This window comes from Homo sapiens, chromosome X (genome assembly GCF_000001405.40).
Source record: "Homo sapiens chromosome X, GRCh38.p14 Primary Assembly".
Taxonomy (NCBI): domain Eukaryota; kingdom Metazoa; phylum Chordata; class Mammalia; order Primates; family Hominidae; genus Homo; species Homo sapiens.
In genome coordinates, this window is record NC_000023.11 from 54427747 (window position 1) to 54439863 (window position 12117).

Sequence of the window (12117 nt, forward strand, 5' to 3'; positions counted from 1 at the left end):
ACAACATCCTGATTGCAGCCTGTGTGACCCTGAGCAGAGAATCTAGTTAAGCTGTGCCTGGATTTCTAACCCATGGAAACTGGGAGACAATATGTGTTTTTTTACAGCTGTTAAATTTGTAGTAATTGGTTATGTGGCAATACAAAACTAATACACTCAGCTTAGATTTCATTATTCATCATTGTAATCACTCCCTTGCAAACATCCTTACTATTCTAGCCCTTGTGGCCAACAGATGCTAAAGTGACCTCCAGTAATCCCCACCACCTGGTGTTTATGCCCTATGTAATCTTATCTTCTGGAGTGTCAGCAGAACCTGTGACTTGTTTCTAGCCTTCTAGACTATGGCAGGCCAGGTGCAGTGGCTCATACCTGTAATCCCAGCACTTTGGGAGGCTGAGGTGGGAGGATCTTTTGAGCCCAGGAGTTTAACACCAGCCTGGAAACATAGCAAGACTCTGTTTCTACAAAATAAATAAATAAATAAATAAATAAATAAATAAATAAATAAATAACGATAGAATATGGCAAAGGTGATGGGATGTCACTTTGCTGAGACTCCATCTTGGTATACTGGAGTTACAGAGACTCTTTTCTGTCAGCTTTGAAAAAATAAGCTGCCAAGTTATCACAGGGCCACGTGGCAAGGAACTCATTACTTGCAGTTGAGAGCCAACTCTGGATGAAAGCTAGCAAGAAAATGAGGACCTCGGTCCTATAGCTTCAAGATTAATTCTTCCTTGATATGATATAGGAGATATTAAAGAAACAAAAGATGAATTCTTCCAACAGCCTGAGGGAGCTTGGAAGCAGATATTTTCCCTAGTTAAGCCTCTGATGAGACTGCAGCCCCAGTTGACACCCACGATGCAGCCTAGTTAGACCCTGAAAAAGAGGACCCAGATAATTTGTTCCCAGACTCTTGACACACAGAAACTGTGAGATAATACATGTGTGTTGTTTTATGTCTCTAACTTTGTGGTAACTTGTTACACAGCATAGAAAACAAACAGCCCGTCTCTCTCATCTTTATACTCATCTGGCCAAACACAACCCAGGTTACTCTCTGCCTCTGTAAGAGAGCAGCTGAATGCTGTTAGAGAAAACAAAACAAAAAAACCCCACAGAAGCCAATGATTTCACTCTAAAGTATTGATTGCAGACCTCAAATAGGCATTAGTACCTGGGACTTATAGCAATCCTGCTGTGATCACCTCTCCACTCTCAGAGATAATTATCATTTTTTTTTGAGGCAGGGTCTTGCTCTCTTGCCCAGGCTGGAGTGCAGTGGTGCAATCTCGGCTCACTGCAACCTCTGCCTCCTGGGTTGAAGTGATTCTCCTGCTTCAGCCACCTGAGTAGCTGGGACTACCAGTGTGCACCACCACGCCCGGCTAATTTTTGTATTTTTAGTAGAGATGGGGTTTCACCATGTTGGCCAGGCTTGTCTCGAACTTCTGACCTCAGGTGATCCACCTGCCTTGGCCTCCCAAAGTGCTGGGATTACAGGCGTGACCCACCGCACCTGGCTGATATACCATCTTTAAGAGCCCCCTTGAATACCATGAGCTCTTCCTACTACTGCCTATTTCTCTGTTCCTCTCATGCAAACCTTCTCCAGATGTAAGTTACATATTACTCTCTCCACTTCATCTCCCACTCTTCAACCAACTGCAGTCTAGCTTCATACCACTCCATAGAACCCACTCTTGTCAAAGTCACCAAAGACTTCATGTCAAATCCAACAGACAGGTTTGTTTTTTTTTTCTCATCCTACTTGTCTTTTCAGTAGCATCTGGCAATCAACAATCCCTCCTAGAAACACGTGTGTTTCTTCTCAGTCTCTTTTGCTGACCTCTAAATATTGAAGTTCTCTGAGCTTGTAGAACCAACTGCCTCCTTGTCATCGCCACTGGATTATCTCACAAGCACCTCAAATTGAACATGTCTAAAACAGAAATCTTGATATTCTTCCCCAAGTCTTTCCCTCCTCTCACCTTCTCCCATCTGTATAACCAGTAGTTATTGAACTAGAAAGCTGAGAATCATCCCTTCTCTCACCTCCTTTACACTCAATTTATTATGGAGTGCTATTGGTTCTACCTCTAAAATTTATCCTGAATTTGTCCACATCTCTCCGTCTCCACTATCTCTAATCTACACCAAACCACCATTGTCTCTTGTTTGAACTTTTTTTTTTTTTTTCAGATGGAGTCTCACTCTGTCACCCAGGCTGGAGTGCAGTGGTGCAATCTCGGCTCAGTGCAACCTCTGCCTCCCAGGTTCAAGCGATTCTCCTGCCTCAGGCTCCTGAGTAGCTGGGACTACAGGTGCGCACCACTACTCCTGGCTAATTTTTTTGTATTTTTAGTAGAGATGGGGTTTCACCATTTTGGCCAGGATGGTCTCAAACTCCTGACCTCAGGTGATCCGCCCACCTCGGCCTCCCAAAGTGCTGGGATTACAGGCGTGAGCCACCGCACCTGGCCAGGTTGGGGAATTTTTTGACCATGGCTGATTTCCAGGAATACAGGGTTCAGATAAGTTTCAACATTGTCAGTGGTTATTTCAGTTTCCCGAGGGGCTTCTTCTAGAGATTTCAATCTGGGATATCAGTTTGGGGGCTTATCTAGGCACTCTAGAGGCCTATTCTTGGGTTCAATCTGAGCAACCTGAGTGGACCACTTAGGGCTGTTATTGCAGGTCAGTCAGTCTGAGGTCCTAGCCTGAAGGACTCAATTTGTGACTTTAGTTTGGCAGATCAGTTTCAGAGAACTCTACCTGGGAATTTTAGTCTGTAGAACTCAGTTTGGAGGCTCTGACTGTGAGGGGTACTCTATCTGCTAGGCACAGTCAAGGGGCTCATTCTGGATATGACAGGTTGATGCTCCATCCAAGGTTCATTCTAAGGTTGGTAGTATGACTTTCTTCTGCAGAGCTCAGAGTATTGCTTTAGTATGGGGATCTGAAACTTAATTCTGCAAACTGAGTCTCTTGTACTCAGCTTGGGGAGCTTCTTCAGGGGCCTCTGGGGAAATCATTTTAGGGGTTTGGTCTAGAAACTGTTTGGGCCACCTGCTTTATGGTAGTCTGTCCAGAGGTTCAGGCACTGGTATACCTGAGATCAATCTCATTGTATTAGTCAGTCAGGAGCTCTGTCTGGATCACTCACTGTTGGGTGCTCAGCATGGGCATTCAGACTTTTTGTTTGTTTTGGTTTGTTTTGTTTTGAGATGGAGTCTTGCTCTGTCGCCCAGGCTGGAGTGCAGTGGAATGATCTTGGCTCACTGCAACCCCCGCCTCCCAGGTTCAAGTGATTCTCCTGCCTCAGCCTCTCAAGTAGCTGGGATTATAGGCGCACACTACCACGCCTGGCTAATTTTTTGTATTTTTAGTAGAGACGGGGTTTCACCATGCTGGCCAGGCTGGTCTTGAACTTCTGACCTCAAATGATCCACACGCCTCGGCCTCCCAAGGTGCTGGGATTACAGGCGTGAGCCACCGCACCCAGTGGCATTCACTCTCCTGAGAGAAGTCCGGGAGTTCCGAGTGAGTTCTGAGTGAGCTCAGGCATTGGCTCACTCAAGAGGGCTCAGCTGGCATCAGATGTGATTGCATGTAACAAAGAGACACCAAATAATGATGGCTTAAACAAGATAGAAACCTCTATTTTTCTTTTTTTGACACAGAGTTTCACTCTGTTTTGATCATTGCTCACTGCAGCCTAGACCTCCCGGGCTCAAGCAATCCTCCCACCTCAGCCTCCAGAGTAGCTGGGACTACAAGCATGTGCCATGCCGGTAAATTAGTCATATCTGCTTATTTTTTTAATTTTTTTTTTTTTGGTAGAGACAGGGTCTCCCTGTTGCCCAGGCTGGTCTCAAACTCCTGGGCTCAAGTGATCCTCCCACCTTGGCCTCCCAAAGTGCTGGGATTACAGGTGTGAGCCATCGAATCCGGCTCAAACCTTTTATTTCTCTTATGTAAAAGCAGTCCTGACCGGGCACGGTGGCTCACACCCTGTAATCCCAGCACTTTGGGAGGCCAAGGCAGGGTGCATCACAAGGTCAAGAGATCGAGACCATCCTGGCCAATATGGTGAAACCCTGTCTCTACTAAAAATACAAAAATTTGCCGGGTGAGGTGGCACGTGCCTGTAATCTCAGCTACTTAGTAGGCTGAGGCAGGAGAACCACTTGAATCCGGGAGGTGGAGGTTGCAGTGAGCCCGGATTATGCCACTGCACTCCAGCCTGGCAACAGAGTGAGACTCTGTCTCAAAAAAAAAAAAAAAAAAAAAAAAAGCAGTCCTAAGAAACTGCTCCTTTCTTCCATTAAATTTTTTTTTTTCAGATAGGGTCTCACTCTGTTGCCCAGGCTGGAGTGCAGTGGCAAGATCACGACTCACTGCAGCCTCGAACTCCCTGACTCAAGCACTCCTCCCACCTCAGCCTCCCAAGTGTAGCTGGGACTATAGGAGTGCACACCATACCCAGCTAATTTTTTGATTTTCTATAGACAGGGTCCCACCATGTTGCCCAGGCTGGTTTTGAACTCTTGGGCTCAAGCAATTATCCAGGATTCTTTGAGCCAAATTTGCCAAAGTATCCCTGCTGCACTCAGTTATTGGTAGTTTTTGGCACTCAGCTGATGGCAAGCAATGTCTGCGCAAATACAAGGGTGGATTTCAGAACAGCAGCTGGGGCCCTTGATTAAATTCATCCCCTGTAGCTTACGGTCTGTGAGATGAAGTCTCATGGCTACCATAGGTGCATACCGGTGGTTCCCTCTGGGGATTCCCTCTAGGGCTCATTTTGGGCTTTTTTTTTTTTGAGATGGAGTCTCGCTCTGTCACCCAGGCTGGAGTGCAGTGGCACAATCTCGGCTCACTGCAACCTCTGCCTCCCAGGTTCAAGTGATTCTCCTGCCTCAGCCTCCCGGGTAGCTGGGACTACAGGCAAGTGCCACCACGTTCAGCTAATTTTTTCACTTTTTTTTTTTTTTTTAAGACAGAGTCTCGCTGTGTCGCCCAGGCTGGAGTGCAGTGGCGCGACCTCAACTCACTGCAACCTCTGACTCCCGGGTTCAAGCAATTCTCCTGCCTCAGCCTCCCAAGTAGCTGGGACTACAGGTGCCCACCACCATGCCTGGCTAAATTTTGTATTTTTAGTAGAGATGGGGTTTCACCATGTTGGCCAGGCTGGTCTCGAACTCCTGACCTCAAGTGATCTGCCCGCCTCAGCCTCGCAAAGTGCTCCAATTACAGGCGTGAGCCACCATGCCCGGCCTTGGGCATGTTATTTCCAGGTTCAGATATTAGGTTTTCAGTCTGAGGGAAGCTGTTTCAGAACATGGGCTCAGTCTACACTTTCAGCAGGGGGGATGAGTTTGTGGCTTTAGTATGTGATGGGTCCTTCTGGGAACTCACCCTGGGCCCATTTGCAGGATATCAGTCCCAGTCCCCATACTCCTTCAAGGAGCTAAGTTTGGGGACTCAGTCCCGTGGCTCTACCTAGAGGCTCATTATGGGCATTATGGGGACATGACTTTAAGGTTAAGGGTTTACATGTTGATGGTTCACTCTTTTTTTTTTTTGAGACAGGGATCTGGCTCTGTCACCCATGCTGGAGTGCACTGCTGCCATCTCTGCTCATTGCAACCCCCGCCTCCTGGGCCCAAGCTGATCCTCCAACCTCAGCCTCCAGGGTAGCTTGGAGACCGCAGGCATGTCCCACCAAGTCCTGCTAATTTTTGTATTTTTTTCAGAGACAGGGTTTTGCCATGTTGCCCAGGCTGGTCTCAAACTCCTGGACTCAAGGAATCTGCCCAGATGGTTCACTCTTGAGACACTAATTCTAGTGTTTCAGTTGGGAGAGGATTTGATATGGGAGCCTGATATTTTCTCTGACATATGACTAAGCCTCTCACCGAGTGAGTGCCAGTTTCAGAGCTCAGTCTGCTCAGGTATTGGAAGCCCAGTCTGGAGATTTTAGCCTGAGGTCAAGCCTAGGAGATACGGATGTGATGGCCTCACCCAGGGATGTCTGTCTGGTGGGCTCTGTCTTGGGATGCCAGGCTTGGTCCTAATCTGAAATTTTCTTTTCTTTCTTTTTTTTTTTTTTTTTTTTTTGAGACAGTCTCACTCTGTTGCCCAAGCTGGAGTGCAGTGGCGTGATCTCGGCTTACTGCAACCTCCACCTCCCGGGTTCAAGCAATTCTCCTGCCTCAGCCTCCCGAGTAGCTGGAACTACAGGCACGTGCCACCACGCCCGGCTAATTTTTGTATTTTTAGTAGAGACAGGGTTTCACTATGTTGGCCAGGCTGGTCTTGAACTCCTGACCCTGTGATTTACCCACTTTGGCCTCCCAAAGTGTTGGGATTACAGGCGTGAGCCACCGTGCCCGGCTGAAATTTTCTATCTGGAAGCATCCTCTGCACATTCAATGTGGTGGTTCAACCTGCATTTTAATCTTGGAGCTCAGTCTAGGGTGTCATACTGGGAGTTGAGTTTGGGATACATGGACTTATAAAGCATCATGCATAGAATTTTGGGGTGTCTGTGTCTTTCTTCCCTCCCGCCCTCCCTTCCTTCCTTTTTTTTTTAATTTTTATGGATTCTCACTCTGTTGCCCAAGCTGGAGTGCAGTGGTGCCATGTCGGTTCACTGCAACCTCTGCCTCCGGTTCAAGAAATTCCCTTGCTTCAGCCTCCTGAGTAGAGTAGCTGGGACTACAGGTGTGCACCATCATGCCCAGCTAATTTATGTATTTTTAGTAGAGACGGGGTTTCAGCATGTTAGTCAGGCTGGTCTCGCACTCCTGACCTCAGGTGATTGCCCGCCTTGGCCTCCCAAAGTGCTGGGATTACAGGCGTGAGCCACTGCACCTGGCCTGATTGCAATTTTAAAATTGGCAAACAAATACACAATTTGGAATGGTGTTTCTGTAATATTTTGATAACTGTATTTTAACATACTTGACTTCCTTTGTAAACCTATATTTTATTGTATGCATTTAAAAACATTATTCTGGGCTAGGCTCATGCCTGTATTCCCAGCACTTTCGGAGGCTGAGGGAAGATTACTTGAGCCCGGGAGTTTGAGACCAGCCTGAGCAACATAGTGAGAACCTGGTCTCTGCAAAATAAGTTTTTTTGTTTTTTTTGAGATGGAATCTGGCTCTGTCGCCCAGGCTGGAGTGCAGTGGCACGATCTCGGCTCACTGAAACCTCCACCTCCTGAGTTCAAGCGATTATCCTGCCTCAGAAATTTTAAAATAAAATAAAAACATTCTGTGAAGAGCTATATTGACTTTACCAGATTGCCGATGGGGGTTCAAGTCACAAAAAAGGTGAAGACGTTTGGTACTTAGGATACTCGGCCTTGGACTTCAGTCTCAAAGCTAAGGGTTCATTCAGAGGCCTTGGTTTGTTACATCCCAGAGAGGGACTCCATGTGTGGGGATATCTAGCAGGTCTATTCTCTCTGTGTATGTTTGAGGCCTCAGATTGTGGGAACTTCAACTGAGGTTTTCAATATCTTCATTTGGGCCTCTCTGAACTCAATCTACATTGCTGACTCTACAAAAAATGAGTCTCTGGAGCTACGGAGGAGGCTATGCCCCTGAGGTTCTCTCTCAGTCTGGAACTGCTCTTATTATCATCACACACCATGTTGCTTCCTGCCTCTGTGTATTTGCACACATTTTTCCCCTGCACAGAAGGCTCTTTCCTCCTTTCAGTAACACCTTCCACCCCCATACACACACACTCCCCCATCACCCAGCAAAATTCTACTCAAACTTTAAGAATCAGCTCACGTGTCATCTCCTCCGAGAGGCCTGCCACAGCCCCCAGGGCTGGGTCAGGGACCCTCTGCTGAACTCCCATGAGTCCCTGTGCTCCTTTCTCCCTGGGCATTGCACAGAGATAGATTTATCGTAGAACAAATCAATCTTAAGCATCAGGGCCCCACACTTGCACAGGCCACTTCCAGGTCTCTGGTTATTGAGCCTGGTCTATTTGAAGAATGTTTAAGATTTGTCGCTGTGCCAAGAGAAGTTAAAATAACCTGAAATCTTACAGCTCACATGTAAAAGAAACTAGAAATTTTCCCAAGTTTGACAAAAATCTTAAAATGTACATTACTAATAATGAGTTGTGAAATTGAAACTTTTCTAAAATACTAATAATAAAAAATTTTACTCAACTGAATTGAAATCAATTGAATTCTTTGTGTTCTCTCTAGAAAATATAAAATACTTGTCATATGAAGAGTTCTATAAACTCTTTGATATCAAAAAATGTAGAAAAATTAGTAGAGAGGTGAGTCATGTAATTAATAAGAATATTTTATTTTGGCAGGGCGTGGTGGCTCATGCCTGTAATCCCAGCACTTTGGGATGCTGAGGCAGGCGGCTCACCTGAGGTCAGGAGTTTGAGACCAGCCTGGCCAACATGGTGAAACCTTGCATCTACAAAACAAAAACAAAACAACAAAGTAATATTTTATTTTTCTGGGTTAGAAGATGTTTGTGACATTTGTCAGTTTTTAAAAATTTGTAATTTGTAAATTAGATTTCTAATTTTAAGGAAATACTTTCATCAATAAATCAACAAATAAGTAAAGTGTACAATTCAATGGCTTTTAGTATAGTTTCTTCTGATTTGCTCCTTGGCTTTCTCCTTAGCTTTCTCACTGTGTGTTCACATAGTTGTCCCTGTGTGTACACCTCTCTGGTGTCCCTCTTTGCCTGTGTCCTCATCTCCTCTTATTATTATATTTTGTTGTTTTTTGTTTTTGAGACAGGGCTTGTTCTGTCACTCATGCTGGAGTGCAGTGGTACAATCATGGCTCACGGCAGCCTCAACCTCCTGGACTCAAGTGATCCTCCCTCCTCAGTCTCCTGAGTAGCTGGGACTACAGCCATCACACTCAGCTAATTAAAAAAAAAATTTTTTTGTAGAGATGGGGGGTCTTGCTTTGTTGCCCAGGATGGTCTCGAACTCCTGGCCTCAAGTGATCTGAGCCATTGCACCGAGTTCTAATCTCCCCTTCTTTATAAGGACATCAGTCATAACGGATTAGGGCCCACCCATGCAACCTCATTTTATCTTAATTACCTTTTTAAAGGCTCTATCTCCCAATACAGTCACATTCTGAGGTACTGGGGGTTAGGGTTTCTACATATGAATTTGGGGGGTGGTGGATACAATTTAGCTCATAACAGCAACCATTACCTCGTCTAATTTTTAGAACATTTTCGACACCCCCAAAAGTAGCCCTGAAGCCATTTAGAAGTCACACTCTATTCTTTCCCCATCCAAGCCCTGGGCAACCATTCATGTATTTTCTGTCTCTATAGATTTACCTATTCTGTATATTTCATATAAATGGTATCATACAATATGTGGTCTTTTTTGACTGGTCGGTAATTATACGTCCTCTTTCGTTCCTGATTTCAGTAATTTGAGTCTTCTTTCTTTTATTTCTTCCTCAGTCTAGCTAAGGGTTTGTAAATTTTGTTGATCTTTTCAAATAACTGACTTGGCCAGTTGCATTTGCTCACACCTGTAATCCCAGCATTTTGAGAGGCGAGGCAGGTGGATCGCTTGAAACCAGGAGTTCAAGACCAGCCTGGGCAACAAAGTGAGACACCCCCTCCCAACACACACACACACACACACACACACACACACACACACACACACAACCACACACACACACACACACACACACTAGCCAGGCATGGTGGCCTATTCCTGTAGTCCCAGCTAATCAGGAGGCAGAGGCAGGAGGATCCTTTGAGCCCAGGAGTTTGAGGCTGCAGTGAGCAATGTTTGTGCCACTGCATTCCAGCCTGGGCAACAAAAAAAGACTTCATCTCTGAAAAAAAAATAACCGCCCAGGTCCGGTGGCTCACGCCTGTAATCCAAACACTTGGGAAGGCTGAGGTGGGCAGCTCACTTGAGGTCAGGAGTTCAAGACCAGCCTGGCCAACATGGTGAAACCCTGTCTCTACTAAAAATACAAAAATTAACGGGGCATGGTGGCATATGCCTGTAATCCCAGCTACTCTGGAGGCTGAGGCAGGAGACTCCTTTGAACCTGGGAGGCAGAGGTTGTAGTGAGCTGAGATTGCACCACTGCACTTCAGCCTGGGTGACAGCACCAGACTCCATCTCAAAACAAACAAACAAACAAACAAAAAACAACAACTGACTTTTGGCTTCACTGTTTTTTCTTTTCTCTATTGTTTTTCAATTCTCTATTTCATTTATTTCTGTTCTATTATTTATTATTTCCTTTCTTATGCTTGCCTTGGGATTACTTTGCTCTTCTTTTTCTGGTTTTGTGAAGTGGAAGTGTAGGTTATTAATTTGATATCATTCTTTCATTTTTTATTTTTTTGAGACAGGGTCTTGCTCTGTCCCCCATGCTGGAGTGCAGTGGCACAATCACGGCTCACTGCAGCCTTGAGCTCCCAGGCTCAAGCAATCCTCCCACCTCAGCCTCCTGAGTGGCTGGTACTACACGCATATGCCACTATGCCCATCTAATTTTGTTTGTTCGTTTGTTTGTTTGAGACAGAGTCTCACTGTGTCGCCCAGGCTGGAGTGCAGTGGAGTGATCTCAGCTCACTGCAACCTCTGCCTACCGGGTTCAAGCGATTCTCGTGCTTCAGCCTCCCAAGTAGCTGGGATTACAGGTGTGTGTCACCATGCCTGGCTAACTTTTGCATTTTTAGTAGAGACAGGGTTTGTTCATATTGACCATGCTGGTCTCAAACTCCTGACCTCAGGTGATCTGCCCACCCAAAGTGCGGGAATTATAGGTGTGAGCCACCATGCCTGGCCTAGTTTTCAAATTTATTTATTTATTTAGTTTGAGACAGAGTCTCACTCTGTTTCCCAGGCTGGAGTGCAATGGCACCATCTCGGCTCACTGTAACCTCCGCCTCCCGGGTTCAAGCCATTCTCCTGCCTCAGCCTCCCAAGTAGCTGGGATTACAGGTGCTTGCCACCAGACCTGGCTAATTTTTGTATTTTTAGTAGAGACGGGGTTTCACCATCTTGGCCAGGCTGGTCTCGAACTCCTGACCTCAAGTGATCTGCCTGCCTTGGCCTCCCAAAGTGCTGTGATTACAAGCGTGAGCCACCACACCTGGCCTAATTTTTAAAATTGTTTTTAGAGATGGGGTCTCACTATGTTGCCCAGGCTGGTCTTGAACTCCTGAGCTCAAGCCATCCTCCCGCATCAACCTCCCAAAGTGCTATGATTACAGGCATGAGCCACCATGTCCGGCTCTTCTTTTTAGATATGCATGTTTACAGCTAAAGATTTCCCTCTAAGTTTTGCTTTAGCTGCATCTCATGCATTTTTTTATGTTTTTGTTTTCATTCATTTAAAAGTGTTTTCTAATTTGCTTTGTGATTTTTTTCTTTGACCCATTTATTGCTTAGGAGTGTGTTAATTTCCATATATTTGTGAATTTTGTAAGTTTCTTTTTACTGATTTTTAACTTCTTTCCATTGTGGTCAGACAACATACTTTGTATGTTCAATCCTGTTAAATCTATGGAGGCCTACTGTATGGCCTAGTGTATGATCTGTTCTGGAGAATGTTCTTGTGTACTTCAGAAAAACATGTACAGTTATCCCTGGGTATCCGTGGGAGACTGGTTCCACGACCTCCGGAGGATACCAAAATTCATAGATGCTCAAGTCCCTGATATAAAATGGCATAGTATTTGCGTATAACCTATGAATATTCTACTGTATACTTTAAATCATTTCCAGATGTGACTCACGCCTATAATCCCAGCAATTTGGGAGGCTGAGGCAAGTGGATTAAACCCAGGAGTTCGAGACCAGCCTGGGCAACATGGCGAAACCCTGTCTCTACTAAAAACACAAAAATTAGCTGGGAGTGGTGGTGGGCACCTGTAATCTCAGGTACTCGGGAGGCTGAGGCACGAGAATTGCTTGAAACCAGGAGACGGAGGTTGCAGTCAGCCGAGATGGCGCCACTGCACTCCAGCCTGGGCCACAGAGTGACACTCGGTCTCAAAAAAATAGATAAATAAATAATTTCCAGGTTACTTATAATGCCTAATAAAG